The sequence below is a fragment of the Homo sapiens genome, chromosome 16 (assembly GCF_000001405.40).
Source record: "Homo sapiens chromosome 16, GRCh38.p14 Primary Assembly".
Taxonomy (NCBI): Eukaryota; Metazoa; Chordata; class Mammalia; order Primates; family Hominidae; genus Homo; species Homo sapiens.
This window is the reverse complement of record NC_000016.10, coordinates 88299395-88318381: the sequence shown is the minus strand read 5'-3', so window position 1 is coordinate 88318381 and position 18987 is coordinate 88299395. Positions and strand designations below refer to the sequence as shown.

The 18987-nt window shown below is 53.2% G+C and overlaps 1 protein-coding gene across 1 annotated transcript in view, besides 4 other annotated features; it reads right to left on the bottom strand.

Annotated features, from left to right (window-relative positions):
- ZNF469 (zinc finger protein 469) overlaps window positions 1–18987 on the bottom strand; it is a 339823-nt gene that overhangs the window by 122372 nt on the left and 198464 nt on the right. The window lies entirely within an intron of this gene.
- Window positions 2305–2599: an enhancer, noted in NCBI's record as "tiled region #14328; HepG2 Activating non-DNase unmatched - State 4:PromP, and K562 Activating DNase unmatched - State 8:EnhW". NCBI's record gives its function as "activates a minimal TATA promoter and a strong SV40 promoter by Sharpr-MPRA in HepG2 and K562 cells {active_cell/tissue: HepG2 | K562}" and the evidence as "EXISTENCE:reporter gene assay evidence [ECO:0000049][PMID:27701403]".
- Window positions 9070–9571: an enhancer, noted in NCBI's record as "H3K4me1 hESC enhancer chr16:88342417-88342918 (GRCh37/hg19 assembly coordinates)". NCBI's record gives its function as "activates a minimal SCP1, AML or CMV promoter by ChIP-STARR-seq in naive H9 embryonic stem cells {active_cell/tissue: H9 hESC(naive)}" and the evidence as "EXISTENCE:reporter gene assay evidence [ECO:0000049][PMID:30033119]".
- Window positions 12520–13019: an enhancer, noted in NCBI's record as "H3K4me1 hESC enhancer chr16:88338969-88339468 (GRCh37/hg19 assembly coordinates)". NCBI's record gives its function as "activates a minimal SCP1, AML or CMV promoter by ChIP-STARR-seq in naive H9 embryonic stem cells {active_cell/tissue: H9 hESC(naive)}" and the evidence as "EXISTENCE:reporter gene assay evidence [ECO:0000049][PMID:30033119]".
- Window positions 14058–14559: an enhancer, noted in NCBI's record as "H3K4me1 hESC enhancer chr16:88337429-88337930 (GRCh37/hg19 assembly coordinates)". NCBI's record gives its function as "activates a minimal SCP1, AML or CMV promoter by ChIP-STARR-seq in naive H9 embryonic stem cells {active_cell/tissue: H9 hESC(naive)}" and the evidence as "EXISTENCE:reporter gene assay evidence [ECO:0000049][PMID:30033119]".

Sequence of the window (18987 nt, the reverse complement as noted above, 5' to 3'; positions counted from 1 at the left end):
AGAGCATGGAGAGGAGGAAGGGGGGGCAGCGTCTCCAGGAGGAGGCTGGGCTGGAGGGGGCCAGGCTAAAAAGGGCAGCCCCTGCCGAATGTAACAGACCCGGGCCCACTGGGGGCTTTGCAGTTGGTATACCCACAGCCACAGCCGCAGCTCCATGGAACGCGCCCTGGAGAACCAGCGGCCTCCCTCCAGCCCAGGCTGGGCCCGAAGATCTGGGAGAGAAGGGCTGAGAGGGTGGAGCTGCCACCGGCTGTCCAAACCTGAGAGGCCCAAGCCACGGGCAGGGATCGCAGGTCCCTCTCCTCATGGGGACAGTGGCAGATTCTGTGGCAATAAAAGTAACTTGTCATTAAAGGACAGCAGAGGACAGGGCTGGGGCCAGGAGGAGGAAGCAGGAGGAAAGGCCATGCTCTGAGTGCCAAGGCACGGGGACCTCACCCCACCATCACCCTCAAGACCTAGGTTCACCCCTGTCCCAGGGAGAAAGATGACACCGAGCTCTGAGACAGGCCCGGTTCAGCGGCGCAGAGAGCAGGAGGAAGTATGGTGAATCCTTAAACAGAACCAGATGGGATTTGGGAGATAAAGAGGGAATTTCTGGAAGGTTCCTGTAAGTTCCTGGGGACTCAAGTCACGGTCAAGGGAAAGGCGTCTGGGAAGCTGCACATGGACTTCCTGTGGTTGAGAGGACAGTTGTGGCTGGAAGCCAGAGTGAGGAAAGAGAAGGCCTCTGCACCGGCCAGAGAGCTGTGCAGGGCGGCTGCCGGCGGGCACTGCCCCTCAACCCCAACACCCAAGCCTCAGCACGATGGAGACTACATCTGCACCAGGTCGGGAGAATGCCAGGAGAGACCCCTCCCAGGGAAGGGTCTCCTGGACCACAGGCCCGTGGCCCTACCTCTGTTTTCAGAGGATGCGAAACTCTTCCAACCTTCACCAGCCAGGTTCCGAGGCTCCACCCTGCCCCTGGCCAGCGTGCAAAGGTGAAAATGCACAGGGTCCCCCTAGGACCACGTTTCACCCGCAGAAGAATGGAACAGGTGAGGTGCTGTGAGCATCTGCCCTGGGGAGAAGGCAGAAGGAGGCTCCACGGAGAAGAGGGTGTCTGAAGTAGGCTTTGGCATGTGAGTCGGTGTTCATCACGCTGGAGAGGCAGTTGGGAACTGCTTCGGCTCCCCACCCTGCCTGACAGCTGAGGGCCAGGCCAGCATGTGGGGAAAGGGCTTCAGCCCTGAGATCAGTTGGATTCCATCAAACTGGGGTGGGGGCTGCCCATGTGGCGCTCTCCTCAAGCCTCTGGCCGGCCGGCCCCTCTCTCTGCCAGAGCCCCACCATCTACAGTTTATTATCTGGGTGGAGCATTGCCCCTTCCAGCTGGGTTGGGAGGGAGAATGCCGAGGTCAGGTGTTCTGGGTTTAGAGCTGGAGAGCGCGTGGGATCTGGAGTTTTCTGTGGGGGTGCATCCTTCTCAAGGAGGACCCCAGCTTCGATAGGTTCCCAGCATGCTGGGCAATGCGGCACTGAGACAGCACCCAGGCTGGGTGCAGTGGCTCACGCCTGTAATCCCAGCACTTTGGGAGGCTGAGGCGGGTGGATCACTTGAGGTCAGGAGTTTGAAACCAGCCTGGCCAACGTGGTGAAACCCTGTCTGTACTAAAAACACAAAAATTAGCTGGGCGTGGTGGCGGGCGCCTGTAATCCCAGCCACTCGGGAGGCTGAGGCAGGAGAATCGCTTGAACCCCAGAGGTGGAGGTTGCAGTGAGCCAAGATCGTGTCACTGCACTCCAGCCTGAGCGACAGAACGAGACTCTGTCTCAAAAAAAAAAAAAAAAAAAGACAGCACCTATACTCAGTGCTCACCAGCCAAGCTGACGCACACTGGCTGAGCAGCAGGGAGCCCAGGCCCACCGTCGGGGTGTCTGCATGTCAGATCACATCACCCTCATGAAAACCCCGGAAGGAGTGTTACTCCCAGGGCAGAGAAGTGGGAAGAGCCGTGCCAAGGTGAGCTGGATGCAAGGCTGGCGTCTGGCCCCACGAGCGTGGTGCACCATCCCATCCTAAAGGTGGCAGATGCTGGCGGGCAGACCAGGGCTGGCAGCTGCGATCACACTCGCCCAAGGTATAAAAGGTACGTCCAGATTCCTGGACCCAGCCCTGCGGGTTCTGACTTAGGACTGTTCAAAACGTATGAAAACTGCCCCGGAGATTCCGGTGAGGAGGACGGACCTGGGGGAAGCTGCTCCTGCCTTTCAGACTGGCGAGTAGTGAGGGGCGGCCGGCCCTGCTCTCTGCCCACCCGGGGCTGTGGTGGCAGCATGTGCCCTGGTGACGCGTGGTCCAGGTGCCGCCCTACAGAGCTGCAGGTGCATGGCCGTGATCACAGCCTTTCCTCAGTGGTGCAGGCGCCGGGGGTGGGGTCAGGGCCTTGTGCACTTCCAGGTTTCCTCTGGAACGTCCGGAGCAGGCAGCCTGGGCGGGCGAGGCCCTGTGTGTGACTCAGCAGGAGGGGGAGGGCCTGGAGGACCAGCTGCTCTTCCTGCCGCTGCTCCGTGTCTCCCACCCCCTTGGCCTCCAAGGACCCCAGCCCAGGCCTGCTCTTGTCTTGGAAACCAACCCAGGCCAGGAGGTCGAGGGCTGTCCTTTGAACCCTGGGGGCTTTAGAAGCTGATCGGCTGAGTGAGGGTCCTCCCTCCCCCACCTTCTGCACAGGCAGACGCACGGATGTGCACTTCCCCAGCCCTGGACTAGGATGGCCACCCTCCTTCTGGGGTCACAGGGAGGCCTGAGAGCTCCTGGGCCCTGCTCCCTCCTCTGCAAAGTCACCTGGCCACGCCCTTGGTCACCATGGCGATAAAATGGTCCAACAGAGGCAGCGGGCTCTGCAAAGAACAAACAGAAGCTTCATCTCCCCCTGTGCCAGGGTGAGCGTCAGGCCAGAGTCCATCCAGGCGTTGTGTGCGTGCGTGGCCTGGCAGCGATGGAGAAGATGACGGCCCCCACTTCCTGGGTCTGTGTGCATGTGTGGCCCAACAGTGACACACAGGATGGTGGCCCTGCTTTCTAGGTCTGGGGCCAGTGCCGTGCCAGCCCCTGCCCCAGGGACCTCAGAGGGCACCAACACTCCGACCACACAGATCTCGTGCGCCCGTTTCACAGTGAGGAAAACCAAGCCGCACAACCTTAGGTGACTTGCCCTGGAGCCCTGGCCCTCGGGGGAGACCTTCCTGCCCCTGGCTCTCACCAAAATATAATCTAGGGTCAGAGAGGAAAATCATATCTCATTCAAAACTCCAGGTCAGATCGAGGAGGACACTTCCTCAGCATAATTACAGAGATGATAGTCCACACCAGCATCATCATAATCACAGAGATATTCTACACCAGCATCATCTTAATTACAGAGACAGCCCACACCAGCACTGCCTGAATTACAGAGATGACAGTCCACACCAGCATCATCATAATCACAGAGATATTCCACACCAGCATCATCTTAATTACAGAGACAGCCCACACCAGCACTGCCTGAATTACAGAGATGACAGTCCACACCAGCATCATCATAATCACAGAGATATTCCACACCAGCATCATCTTAATTACAGAGATAGCCCACACCAGCACTGCCTGAATTACAGAGATGACAGTCCACACCAGCATCATCATAATCACAGAGATATTCCACACCAGCATCATCGTAATTACAGAGACAGCCCACACCAGCACTGCCTGAATTACAGAGATGACAGTCCACACCAGCACTGACTGAATCACAGAGATGACAGTCCACAGCAGCACTGCCTGAATTACAGAGATGACAGTCCACACCAGCATCATCATAATCACAGAGATATTCTACACCAGCATCATCTTAATTACAGAGACAGCCCACACCAGCACTGCCTGAATTACAGAGATGACAGTCCACACCAGCACTGCCTGAATTACAGAGATGACAGTCCACACCAGCATCATCATAATCACAGAGATATTCTACACCAGCATCATCTTAATTACAGAGACAGCCCACACCAGCGCTGCCTGAATTACAGAGATGACAGTCCACAGCAGCACTGCCTGAATTACAGAGATGATAGTCCACACCAGCATCATCATAATCACAGAGATATTCTACACCAGCATCATCTTAATTACAGAGACAGCCCACACCAGCACTGCCTGAATTACAGAGATGACAGTCCACACCAGCACTGCCTGAATTACAGAGATGACAGTCCACACCAGCACTGCCTGAATTACAGAGATGACAGTCCACAGCAGCATCATCATAATCACAGAGATATTCTACACCAGCATCATCTTAATTACAGAGACAGCCCACACCAGCACTGCCTGAATTACAGAGATGACAGTCCACACCAGCATCATCATAATCACAGAGATATTCCACACCAGCATCATCTTAATTACAGAGACAGCCCACATCAGCACTGCCTGAATTACAGAGATGACAGTCCACACAAGCATCATCATAATCACAGAGATATTCTACACCAGCATCATCTTAATTACAGAGACAGCCCACACCAGCACTGCCTGAATTACAGAGATGACAGTCCACAGCAGCACTGCCTGAATTACAGAGATGACAGTCCACAGCAGCACTGCCTGAATTACAGAGATGACAGTCCACACCAGCACTGCCTGAATTACAGAGATGACAGTCTACACCAGCATTGTCTTAATTACAGAGAGAGTCCACACCAGCATTATCATAATCACACAGACAGTCCACACCAGCATCATCTTAATTACAGAGATAGAGTCCACACCATCATTGTCTTAATTACAGAGATAGATAGTCCACACCAGCATTGTCTTAATTACAGAGACAGCCCACACCAGCATCGTCTTAATTACAGAGACAGTCCACACCAGCATCGTCTTAATTACAGATAGTGAAATAAGACAGAGATATTCACTAGGATTGAACATTTTTTGGAGGGATGGGCGGATGCAATTGGACTAGAGAAAGAATTACAAGGTATAAAAATTGAAAAAGAGCAGAGAAAATGATCACCATTTTAGTTGATATGATTACATATCTGGAAAATGAACAGAGTTCATGAAGATGACTGGTTAGAGTAAGATATTCAAATATCAACAGCTTTCTCATATATAATTAGATAGAAAATATAATGAGAGATCAAATTTATAACAGCAACAAAAAGATATCTCAGAAAAAACTTAGGAAATGTGCCTCAGCCACATGAAGGGAACTTGGAGGCACAGCGGAGGGATGCTCAAAATGCCCGAATCAAGGGAAGACCCTAACACTGACCCTGACCGTGACCCTGACCAGGAGCCACGATAATAACAAATATGTCAGTTATCCCTAGATCAGGCTGCAGAGTCAATCAGCTCCTTTTTCCTATACCAACAATTATTTCTGGAACTAAGTAAGTTGAGTCTAAAGTTCATATGGAAAAATAAACATCCAGGCCATCCTAGAATAATTCGTGAGGGCATGGAGGCGTGGAGTCCATGGCGCACCAGCATGGCTTGCAAAGCTACTGTAGTAAAATGCGGTTTGGGGCTGGTATGAAGATGGGTGGACCCATCAGTGGAACAAGGCAGACGCATTGACTGCGTTGTAAAGGCAGCATTTCAAATGGTCTTGGCACAGCTGGCTCACCCCCTAGACAAAGGAAAAATGGCGTCTCTCCCTCAAATCAAAGACTTAAGGGCAAAAAAACAAAAGCACTAGAAGAAATCATGAAAGATGTTTCTAACAAAATAATTTCAGCATGCGCAAGGCCTTTTGAAGAATGAAACAAAACACAGGAAGCTTAAAAGGAGGTGGGTATATGTGACCACATAAAATAAGGGTCTTAAAGCCAACACAAATGAACAAAACACAGGCACACGAGCAAGTGAAGAATTGGGGAGAAATTTGGCAACTTATATATCAGAAACAGGGGATTAAAGAAACAACAAAAAGAGTAAGTTACAGACCAACCCGTCAAGAGACAAATGGGCAAATGGCCTGAGAAGCTGGTGCAAGAAGGTAAATCCCAGCAACCTATAACCACATGAGAACAGGCTGAGCCTCCTGGGAATTAGAACTACCGTACTGATAGGCTTTGGCTGTGTCCCCACCCAAATCTCATCTTGAACTGTAGTTCCCATAATTCCCTTGTGTTGTGGGAGGGACCAGGTGGGAGATAATTGAATCATGGGGGTGGTTTCCCCCATACTGTTCTCATGGTACTGAAGAAGTCTCATGAGATCTGATGGGTTTATACTGGGAAACCCCTTTCACTTGGTTTTCATTCTCTCTTTGCCAGCTGCCATGTAAGATGTGCCTTTGCTCTTCCTTTGTCTTCTGCCATGAATGTGAGGCCTCCACAGCCATGTGGAACTGTGAGTTCATTAAACTTCTTTCCTTTATAAATTACCCAGTCTTGGGTATGTCTTCATCAGCAGTGTGAGAATGGACTAATACAAGCAGCCAATGAGATTTCACCATCAGGTGTTCCACAATCAATCATTTGAAAGCACGCAGCTTCAGGAACAAGCCCCAGGCTATATCATTGCGAAAATGCAAATCAATATGTCCTTGTTGGCGAACGACTTGGCCAACTCAATCCAAGTTTAAGACACAAAAACCTGGGGCCAAGTGTGGCCTCCCAGAAATCTACCTGGCAGGTACTCACAGAGACTTCCACACTAGGACTGTCTCTGCAACGCTGCAGGGACAGCCCTGAAACCACCAGACACCCCTCAGTTGGAGCCCAGCACAGTAAGTTATAGAATGAACCACTGACGGAGGGCAGGCCACCATCCCTTACTAGCTGTTCTGAAGTCCCCACAAAAGTTCTTCTGGAACTTGCTTGGAAATTTGCAGTGAGACTGTTTATTTTCTCTGCTTCTCCAATCAGGGTAAATATTCATGTTTCAGTGCAGAAACAGTCATGGGCTTTCTTATGGGTTATTTCCCTGGATCCCATGGGAGTGCTGTGTAAATGTACATTACATTTCTAAAATCCTGAGCTCTGAAATAAAAAGCCTGTCGAGCTCCAGGGTTTGGATAAAAGCCTGGGGACCTGCAGTTTCAGCTTTAAAAAGAGTGAGGCCTCAGCCAGGTGGCCAAGGTCAATGTCCCCTGCGATGCATCCTGTTGATGATGTAGACCCCTGAGGGGATGTGGTGAGATGGGCACTTCGCCCCCAGGGTCTTCCTCCCAGTGATTCATCGCTGTAGTCTAACCATGAGAAAAACACTAGACAATCCCAATTGAGGGATGATCCACAAAATGCCCAGGCGGTCCTCAAAACTGTCAAGATCCTCAAAAACAAGGAGTTGGAGAGGAGCCGAGGGAGGCGTGACGAGCAAATCCTGGGTGGGATCCGGATGTGGTCCTGGTGCAGGAGGAGGCTGTGAGGGTGCACGGTGAATGAGGATGGATCAGTGTTGGGTTCATCAGTGACAACAAAGGCACCGTGAGAGGGTGAGATGTGGACAGTTGGGCGCAGGGCAAGTAGAAACTCTATGCCATCTTCTCGATTTTTCTGTAAATCTAAAACTGCTCTTTTAAAAAGCCTATTAAAAATAAAAAGCAGCAGCCTGGCCAAAATGGTGAAACCCGGTCTCTACTAAAAATACTAAGATTAGTTGGGCATGGTGGCGCACACCTGTAATCCCTACTCAGGAGGTTGAGGCAGGAGAATCGCTTGAACCCAGGAGGTGGAGGTTGCAGTGAGCCGAGATCGCGCTGCTGCACTCCAGCCTGGGCAACAGAGCGAGACTCTGTCTCAGAAAGTAAATAAATAAAATTAATAAAAAAAAAAAAATAAAATGAAGGACAAGGTACTGTCAAGGAACAAGATCCAAGACACAGGCTACAGAAAAACAAAGGGGGAAGTGCAGCTATCACTTTTGTGTGCAAATGGTTCCACCGGGAAGAAGGGGCAGCACGCAGGGCTGTGTTAGATGTGTGACTTGTGAGATGTGACCAGAGCCCCAGGCACACCCTTATTTCTGCCTTTCATGGCCACCCTAAAATTTAAGCAGTGGGAGGCACTGCCTTGTGTCTTAGCCAACAGCTCCCACCCCCCAGCTCCCCAAAGAAATTCTGCTTCCCTCCCCCAACCTCTCCTGCCTCAGAGTTTGGGGGTGGTGAGGAAGTCAGCAGGTGCCTGAAGCTGATGTCCTCCGTGTAATCTGAGGGTTCTGCAGAGATTTGCTCTCATGCCAGGCTGTCCCACCTGATGACCCCTTCCCTCCCCATTGGCTTCTCCCTGCCCCCACTGCACCACTGGAGGGCACCCCTGCTCCCCATAGCGCCCTCCCTCTCAGGCCACTCAGTGCACAGGAATTGCACACCTGTTATTGCTCTTCTGATTCTAGGAAGGGTTTTACAACACGGGTGGGTCATGGACCTGACTCTTCAAAGCCAGGCTACCCTGGGCAGTGGAGGGATCTGGCCTCTGGCAGGGGCAGGCCCTCAGGTTACAGCTGACTCCTGCCACGTGGGTTGTTTCTGCCTTAACAGAGTGGCCCTGATGCTTTGTTATTTTGATCCCAGGGACAGGACAGAGGGGCTTGGAGGCCAGCATTTGAGGAGAGTGAACCACACTCCCTGGCACCGAGAGGGCACCTCAGAGGGCACCCCCCCGCCAGGTGTCCTGAACACTGAGAGGGCACCTCAGAGGGCACTCCCCCCGTCAGATGTCCTGAACACTGACAGGGCACCTCAAAGGGCACTCCCCCCATCAGGTGTCCTGAACACTGACAGGGGACCTCAGAGGGCACTACCCCCGCCAGTTGTCCTGAACACCGAGAGGGGACCTCAGAGGGTACTCCCCCCATCAGGTGTCCTGAACACCGAGACGGGACCTCAGAGGGCACTCCCCCCGTCAGGTGTCCTGAACACCGAGAGGGGACCTCAGAGGGTACTCCCCGCGTCAGGTGTCCTGAACACCGAGAGGGGACCTCAGAGGGCACTCCCCCCACCAGGTGTCCTGAACACTGACAGGGGACCTCAGAGGGCACTCCCCCCGTCAGGTGTCCTGAACACTGTGCTCCTCCTGGCCCAGCTCGGAGGTGTCCCTGTAGGGCTGGCCACCACAGGTCACCGCTGTCCCACCCTCCTCAAATTGCCAGCACACCACCACGGAGCCCACTCCTCCAGGCTGTGACACTTATGAGGCCTTCCTCCTTCCCCTGAGAGGTGAGCATCAGCCTTAGGCCTCTGGGCAACACGCACAGGGCAGGATCAGGTATGAGAGACTCACTAGGGGAAAATCTGTGAGAAAACCGGGGCAGGAGCCTGGGAGGTTGGGAGAAGGTCCAGTCGGGACGTGGGTCTGGGCCCTGGGCAGGGGAGAGGAAAGGAAGGAAGGTTGGGAGCCCTTTGCACGGTGGCTCAGCAGGGCCACTGGGGGGACCTCAAGCCAAAGTCACCACCACCCAGGAACAGATTGCCTGGGTGTCAGGCTAGCCTTGATGCAAATGTGGAGGTGAGCTCAGGATGCAGAGGCTGGGCCACTGGTCAGTCCTGCTCCCCACAATGGAAGGCCTGAGAGGCATGTTCTCATGGCTCTGCAGACAGCACTTAGAAGGGTGTCTGTCCAAATAGATGAGGAAAAACCTCCCAGTTTCTTTCTGGGGGTCTCCTGAGAATCTTCTGTGCTTTGCATCCCATGGACCTCATGGAGGTGGGGTCTGCTCAGTCTTCCAGCCCTCACCATGCCCAGTCTGTGGGTGTCCTTCTGCTCCAGGCACCAGGAATGCAGCAGTGAAGAAGAGAAGGAATCCTGCTCTAAGACATGGGCTCTAGTGGGAGAGGACTAGATTGCAATGCTGGGTGCTCTGCAGAGAACAGAGTGTGGAGGGGCAGGCTGGGGGAGATGGGAAGAACTGGCCCTTTCATTTTAACTCATTATTGGTGAAAGATTCCCTAGGTCCTTAAAAACATCTCCCAAAGAATCAGATGATTTTAAAATCTTATCCCTGAGTCAGTGCAATCCCGATCACAATCTCTTCTGGCTTTCTTGCCAAAACTGACAAGCAGATCCTGAGATTCATATGGAAATGTAAGGGACTCAGAATAGCCAAAACAATCTTGAAAAAGAGCAAAGCTGGAGGACTCACGCATCCCACTTTCAAAGCTGATGGCAAAAGCACAGAAGTCAAGAGCTGGCATAAACACAGATACGCAGATTGATGGAATGGACTGAGAATGAGGGCTGGAAATAAACCCTCAGAGTTACAGTCCACTGATTTCCAACAAGGGCACCAAGGCAGTTTAACAGGGAAAGAATAATTTTTGCAACAGATGGTATTGGGCCTAGTGGATATCCATGTGCAAAAGAATGAGGTTAGACCCCTACCTCACACCATACACAATGTGAACTCCAAAAGTAGTAGCAACCTAAATGTGAGAGCCGAAACCATAACACTCTTAGAAGACAACATAGGAATACATCTTTGTGGCTTTGAGTTAGGCTATGATTTCTCACATATGACACCAAAAGCACAAATGACAAAAAGTAGATAAACTGGACTTTCTCAAAATTAAAACTTTTGTGCTGCAAATAATACCATTAAGAAAGTGAAAAGGTAACCCAGAGAATGAGAGAAAACTTTTGCAAACCATATATCCAATAGGGAACCTGGCTGTAGAACACATAAAGAACTCTTGCAACAATAATAAAAAGACAAGAATCCAACTAAAAATGGGGTGAAGGGTCTGAGTAGATATTTCTCTGAAGAAGATACACAAATGGTCAGCAAGCACATGAAAAGACACTGATATCATTAGCCGTCAGGGAAAGGCAAATCAAAACCACAATGAGATGCCACTTCACACCCAGGAGCTTGGCTGTCACCAAAAAGACAGACAATAACAGGTGTTGATGAGAGTAGGGAGAATTTGAAACCCTCCCACACTGCCCGTGGGAATGTAAGATGTGGCAACCTCTTTGGAAAAACAGTTTGGCCAGTCCTCTTGGAATGTTAACTGTACAGTGACTGTACGACCAGCAATGCTGCTTGTAGCTGGGGACTCTAGAGAAATGGAAACCTTTGTTCACATAAAAACGGGTACACAAATGTTCATTATTCACAATAGCCAAAAAGTGGAAACAGCCCACACTTCCATCAGTGGAAGAACAGATAAACAAAATGTGGTCTATCTACTCAGCAGAATGTTCTTTAGCCACAGAAGGAATGAAGTGCTGACACACACCCCAGTGTGGGGGACCTTGAAAACATCATGCTGAGTAAAAGACACCAGCTTCAAAGGGCCATGTGTGGTATGATCCCATTTCTATGAAATGCCCAGAACAGGGAAACCTTGGAGGCAGGAAGTGGATTGGCGGTTGCCAGGGACCGGGGTAGAAGTAGGGGGAGGAACAAGGAGCTGATGATAAAGGGCCTGGAGTTTCTTTCTGGAGTGATAAAAGTGTTCTGGAATTAGATAGTGGTGACGGTTGCACAATTCTGTGAATTCACAAAAAAACACTGAATTAAAAGAATGACTTTTATGGTATATGACTTATATCTAAATACAGATGTCACTAAAAAAATTCACTGTTTTCCCCCACTCCTTACCATCTGGTAGAAGCGGGGACAGGGAAGGAGACGGAATAAAGCCAGAGCCTGTCCATCAAAGCTCATTTCTGGAGCAAGGACCCTGGTGCTGGTCAGGGTCCTGGGTTGCCCTGTCCACGCCTGGCCTGGAGGCGTCTGAGCTACGTTCCAACAGCATCAAGCAATGCCGGGCAGTCATGGGGCTTCAGGCTAGTCATGGGGCTTCAGGCTGTTGGTGCTGGTGGCCCCAGTGTTGTGTGGACCACACCCCACCACCCTCTGGGTGCAGGTGACATCCCGCATCTTCCTGAGGGCTTCCCACTCAACAGGTGCTCTGCAGCTCAGCCTCCCCGAGCCTCCCAGGGTGTCACACAGGCTAAGCAGGCTGCTGTGTGTTAAACCCACCTGGTATCCACACACCTACAGAGAACAACTGTGACAGGCTAGTGCGAGAGCTCCAGCCCTCACACAGGAGGCAGAGGCAGGGCACGTCCCTCAGCTCCTCAAGTTCCCTTACTGACAAGGAGATGCGGACAGCACCTGCCATGCAGGGGTGTGTGGACACAAGAGCAAGAGGTGCCTGGAGGGTGCTGGCAGCACAGTCCGGTGCCTGGCACACTGTAGGCTCCTGACATCATTAGTAAACCATGGACAGGAGGCTGCTTCTGAACCTCTTGTCATTGGAAGCCCCTGCCTTGTGACTTCCTTAGGCCCACAACACACCTGTTGGGAACTACCAGCCTTGGCGTCTCCAGGCCTTTTTGCAGTGCAGTCAGACCAGGTGTCTACATTCACACCCACATGTGTATGGCTGCATGGGGTGTGGGGATGTGTACATGTGTGCATGTGTGTAAGGACATGTATGTGAGTGTGTGGGTTTACGTGACAGTGTGTGAGTGCATGAGAATATCGGTGTGCATGAGAGTGTGCTGGGGATGTATGTGTGTATGTGAACATGGATGCGTGAGTGTGCATCTGTGTCTGGGCATGTGCATGAGTGGTGAGTGTGCATACATGTGTATATGTGTGCATGTGAATGTGCATTTATGAGTGTGCATATGTGTGTTTCCGTGTGTATGAGCATGCAGGCATGAGTGTGCAGGTATGAGAGTATGCATGTATGGTCATGCGTGTGCATGTGAGCATGTGTGTGTATGTGAAGGTGTGCATGCGTGTGTGCCTGTGAGAATGTGTGTGCACGTGAGGGTGTGTGTGCATGTGTGAGGGTGTGCGTGTGTGCCTGTGAGCGTGTGTGCACGTGTGAGGGTGTGCACACATGTGTGCCTGTGAGCGTGTGTGTGCATGTGTGTGAGGGTGTGCGTGTGTGCCTGTGACCATGTGTGCACGTGTGAGGGTGTGCGTGTGTGTCTATGAGCATGTGTGCACGTGTGTGAGGGCGTGCATGTGTGCCTGTGAGCGTGTGTGTGCACATGTGAGGGTGTGCATGCGTGTGCCTGTGAGCATGTGTGTGCATGTGTGTGAGGGTGTGCGTGTGTGCCTGTGTGTGTGTGCATGTGAGGGTGTGCGTGTGTGTGTGCCTGAGAGCATGTGTGTGAGGGTGTGCATGCGTGTGTGCCTGTGAGCGTGTGTGTGCATGTGTGTGAGGGTGTGCACTGACATTTCCTGCACATGCAGACATCCCCTCAGTGTGGCCTGCCCCATGCCGGGCATGGACATTAGGACTCAGAAGGACTGGGAGTTTCTGCACCAGGGCATCACTCCTGCTGATGCCCATCACTGCATTTGCTCTGTGTGGGTGTCAGATGCTGCCCTGTCTCCAGCTTGGCCTCTACTGCTCTAGCTTCCAGTAGGCTCCTAAATCATCCAGTGGCTTGGGGAGGGGGATTCCAGATGGAACTTGGGTGTGGCTTTAAGAGCCCAGGATTCAGAGCTTCAGAAAAGGGATCCCAAGCCAATGTCCAAATTCTTGCAGGGGAAGCAAGTCCACTGGCCTCCAGGGTGCAGGCAGCACCTGGGTCCCTTGCTTTGGTGAACAATGTGTTATTACACTGCCTCCTTAGCCAGATGAGACAATACAAATTCCTCAAAGCAGCAGTCAAAAGCTATAATCTGATTTTGCAACATCCAGGAGCAGATGCTCTTTGGGAGGAATAAAACACTGAGATGATGGGGGAAGGAATGCATTGGGTTAGTGTTTGCCTTTTTATGCTCTTGGCTTCCAAACACTTGAGGTTGAAGCATGCCACAGAGAGCAGAAGCAGCTGGGTGAAGCCCTGGACAGGCACATTCCTGAGCTGAGTCGGGTGGATATGGGAACATGCTGGCCCCCTTGCTCACCGGGCGACTGGGTGAGTCTGTCACCAAAAGTCAAAATGCCCTCCCCACAGCTCTCTCCGCTCTTGGAGAGAGAGGTCTGGATGGAGGCCTGGCCCCTGCAGATTCCTCTGTCCTGGCCCTTCTCAGTTTCCCATCTTCAGACAGTTCCAGGCTGTTGTACTGGCCGTGCAGACTCGCCTGCAACAGGGTGGGAGGAGCCCACAGTGCGATGGGGACGTGTGTGCATTCCATCGCCCTGGTGTCACTGGTGTGGGGGCGGCCGGGCTGCAGCGCTGGGCTGTCGGGGCATCCGTGACCTCCCAGATAAGATAAAGGGCTGTGAATCCATGGTCTCCCTTCCCAAGCCTCTCCCCACTCCTAGGATGAGTTTTCCAGAGGGGTCCTATGTGAAGGTTGCAAACTGCTTGCAAAGGCCAGCAAGTCCTCCTCCCAGAACAAGCCTCCTCTGAGCACACTCTGGTCTGCATAACAGCCCAGGAGCTGCGGAGTTGCCCCATTACCTCTGGAAAGCTGCCTCACTTCTCAGCAGCTCCTTGCAAAAGCACCTCTTCAAGAGGAAGCAGGAGCAGCCCCCAGACCTCATCAGCAACTTTCATTAAGAGCGATGACACTGAGTGAGTGGCACTGAGTGTGTGGCACTGAGTGTGGCCTGTGTGGGTGCTTTGCATCATATCTCCTTCAATCTGCACAACCTCCTGATGAGAGGAAGATAATTGTCATTCCCACTCTCCAGATGAGGAGCCCACCCCTTAGCAGGCAGGTTCAGGATTTCAGGGGGAGTCAAACATGTTCTGAAGAGGATGCTGGGCCTGCCTGTAAGAGGCTCATGGCTTGGCTGGGAGGACAAGGTAGGAAGAGAGTGGAGGCACCGCCGGAGCCATCAGCCCCACTGGAAGGTGGAGGTGGAGCTGGACCCCATGCCCTCGGGAGGGCTTCTCCAACTCTGCGGTTCTGAGATTTTCTTCTGAGATGCCTCCAAGAAGCACAAGTAGAATGTTCCTCCCGGCAGTGGAGTTCCATGGGAGCCAGGGCCAGGTGCTGCTGCAGGCTGTGGTGGGCCCTTGGAGGGGCTGAGGGGCTCTGGAAAGCTGGGCACAAGGAAGTGGGCAGGGATCCCGGCTGGAAAGGCCCACTGGAAAGAACAGCGCTGGCGAGGGTGCAGAGCAGAAATCACACGTGTCCACGTCCCCAGCCAACGGGGCCCAGGAGAACTTATGCAATGATACATGGGATGAAGTGAATTGTTACCTTGATTTCACTTTAATTAATTAATAAATGATCACCATGGCTGGCGGCTGCATGCTGGAGGGTACAGCTCTGGATTGCTCCGACAATGACAGGCTGCAAACACCAAATCCTCAGACACAACTTCACACTTTCCTATCAGGCCCAGAGCTCACAGCAGGGATTAACAGACAGACACCAGGGGAGTAGGGAACCTGTCCTTCAGCCGTCAGATTGGAGTTCAACCCTAAGGGACCCAACCTCTGAAAGGCAAATGCTCCACACTGGCACCCGGGACAGGAGTGTTCAGGGGCCTGCAGGAGGCTGGCACTGCTGAGTTCCACGCCCTTCCCACACATCTGTTTTTCTGCAGCATCTGGGATTGCCAAGCCTCCCCTTTTCGGCAGCCCCACAGCTGGCCAGGGCAGAGGGGTTCTGTAGTGGTGGCCCCACCCTGGCCCCTACAGCACATTGCTGAACTGGGAGGTAGATGAGAGTGAGGCGAGGGTAGACACCTGAGGTTCCTGGAAAGCAGACAGATGCAGGGCCCTACAGAGCAGCCAGCAGGGACAGGGGCCTCGGAGTCCAAGCAGAAAGTGAGCCTCCGGCAGGGAGCAGATGCTGGTCCTTCCTCCCAACGTCTGTTCACTCTTGGCCAGCAAGCATCTGTGGAGCGCCTTCTGTACACAGCCTGACCCTGTATCTCCACCACCAGGGCAATGGAGAACCTTTCTCAACCACAGGTCCAGACGAGCCCAGGCAGCTGTGAGCCCAGGGAGGTGGCCGGAACACGTTCTCCTTTTCATGGAGAAGCCGAGGAACGGAGTGCTGGAAGTCAGGCAGGGTGGGCCGCGCTTCCGGGCCAAAGGAAGCAGCCACTGAAACAGATTTTTAAGACACACAGAGCACCAAATATAAATATATCCACTCTTAAAAAAGGAATGAATTTTATCTTGAGTGAGACTCCATTGGCCAGACTCAGAGATGAAGCATTTTTATCATTAATATCATCTGGGCTTGTGTGGAATTGTTTCATAAGAGGCTGATTCCCAGCACTCCGACAGCAGCGGGAACAGCGGGTCAGACGGCAGGTAACCACCGCCCCTGCAGCTCCTCCGTCCTCCCTGGCGTCGGTTACCCCCCGAGTCTCCCACTACCCAGGAAGAACAGGGCCACTGTCCTGACCGAGAGCCCAGCTGTTCTCAGCAGCATCTGCTCTGCACAGGGCTGCCTGGCAACGAACTGCCCGTGAGCCAGGCTCAGCCCTGCCATGGTGGAGCTCAGGGCTTCCCTGAGCCTCAGCTTCCCTGTCTTTATAGTGAGCACAACAATGTATATGTAACAAGGATTGGGGGAGGAGGGCCTGCAGTTGCTGGTGAACTAGGAATTGGGTAACAGTCATCAGGACTGTCACCCTGATAGTTACCCCCTCCTGCCTGCAGCCTGGGATGCTGAGCCCCGAGTGGAGATCTGAGGAGGGGGCTCAGGTGGCAGGGGCAGAAAGGTGAGGCCTGTTTCTCAGTAACCCACAAAAAGGATGTACACAGAGACAGAAGGGACAAGAGAGCTGGGCGGAGACAAAGCTGGCCCTGCCCCATACCAGTGGTGCCCACAGGGACGGCATCTCATGACCACTCCCAGCAGGCTCCTCAACAGCTCCTGGGAATTCCTGGACGTGGCTACAAATGGTGACCTGCCCAAACGCTCAGGAGATGCCTGTGTCCCCTACTCGCCTGACGGTGCCCTGGAGAGGCTGTTCGGGTGAGCGTCTGCCTCTGCATCCCACTGTTCACTGAGTACAAGAGAGGGTTCTCTTCCAAATAATCATCGCTTAGAGAAGCGTGGCCACTGGGTGCGGTGGCTCACACCTGTAATCCCAGCACTTTGGGAGGCCGAGGCTGGTGGATCACGAGGTCAGGAGATTGAGACCATCCTGGCTAACATGGTGAGACCCCGTCTCTACTAAAAATACAAAAAATTAGCCAGGCGTGGTAGCGGGCACCTGTAGTCCCAGCTACTCGGGAGGATGAGGCAGGAGAATGGTGTGAACCTGGGAGGTGAAGCTTGCAGTGAGCTGAGATGGCGCCACTGCACTCTAGCCCAGGTGACAGAGCGAGACTCCATCTCAAAAAAAAAAGAAAAGTGTGGCCACTGTGCGTCGGAGTTATCTTCCATCCTCTCACGTACAAAGCACGCTCCCAACGGCTTTAGTTCTTTTCTTTTCTTTCTTTTTTTTTGAGACAGTCTCGCTCTGTTGCCCAGGCTGGAGTGCAATGGCATGATTTCAGCTCACTGCAACCTCTGCCTCACAGGTTCAATGGATTCTCCTGCCTCAGCCTCCCGAGTAGCTGGGATTACAGGCACCTGCCCCCACGATTGGCTAATTTGTGTATTTTCAGTAGAGACGCGGTTTCACCATGTTGGCCAGGCTGGTCTCCAACTCCTGACCTCAGGTGATCCAACCGCCTTGGCCTCCCAAAGTTCTGGGATCACATGCGTGAGCCACCGCACCCGGCCTCTAACAGCTTAGCTCTGAGAACGGGCTCTTAGAGTGAGACAACCAGCTTGGAAGAGGCTGGAGTCATCATGGAGCTCCCCAGGGGCTGGGTGGGTGAAGAAGGCGGCCCACTCACGACTCACTTGTTCATTATTCCAAGGGGAATCACGTGCTCTATGCAAGTGTTAGACACAATGGTGTGCCAACCTCTGAGGCTCCCTTTGTATACAAGAAATGGAGCCACCGAGAGAAGCGCTCCCTGCTGCTAGGTGGTGGGTTTCTGGCTTAGGATAGAGTATGGCAGCACCGAGCATGGCGCCTGTGAGCAGTGTCGGGGCCCTGGGGGATGCTGCACCCGTCACACGCAGGTTTTCACTCTAGAGAGGAAGAAAAGATATCGAATATCCGAGGACCTGGACTGAAGATGATAAGATGATGCAGGGTGACAGGCTCAGAGGGGTGGAGGCTGACTTTAAACTTGGGTCTCCCGACTGTAAATCCAGCCTCCATCCATGGCCACCTCCCACCCTCACCACCCGGGCAGGACTGTTGCGAACTGCAGTGGCTGTGCCTCCAGCAACCCAGTGGCTCTGGGAGTAGAATCAACTTTGTTGAAATCAAAGTGACTTTGACCAAGAGAAGATGCCCCACTGCAGAGTTGGGAGAAATTCCAGTTTCCTTTTCCCAGGTCAGGCAATCAAGGGACAATGGTGTAAGCCAGTCAGGCCGAGCAGGGCCCTTCTCCCGTTCCTTCCTCATCCGCAAATGCCATTGCGTCCCCCTAGCCGTGCCGTGCGCTGCCTCCATCACAGCAGGCTCCCCGGGGAGAGACCTGGCAGAGGGGCCGTGGTGATGCCACCACACAAAGAAAAGGTCGTCCTCAAACAAGCGCCCTGCAATGCTGCCATTGCACCGGGGCAGTGCTGGCCTCAGAGGGAAACTCCAGCCAGAGTGGCTGGAACCCCCATGGAGAAGTCCATCCTGCTCAGGGTCAGGCAACTCCTGGGCCTGAGTCCCCTGTCTTGCCCAGGGAAGTGGATGAGAGCCAGTGGGGCCCCTGTGGCAGAGGCAGAGCCCACCCAAATCCCTGAAGACCTCCCAGCAGCTCATCCAGGTGGGGCAGGGATTGGCACTCAGCTGGAGTGGGATCACAGCGACCTGACCCCCAGCCACCGCCCCAGAACAGAGACTGCCACCGCCCACACCGCACGGCAAAGCTTCCCTGGGTTCAGCTATGACTCCCAGAAGCCACAGCCCCATGCCTCAAGATGAGCCCTTGTTAGATCATCAAAGCTGTGCTCCTTCCTGTCTGGCTCCTGGAGCAGCCTGGCTGGTTCCCTTTCACTCGGCTCCTTCCTCCAAAGAACAGTGCTGCCGGCACCTGGAGCCTCTGCCCTCCGGCCTCTCC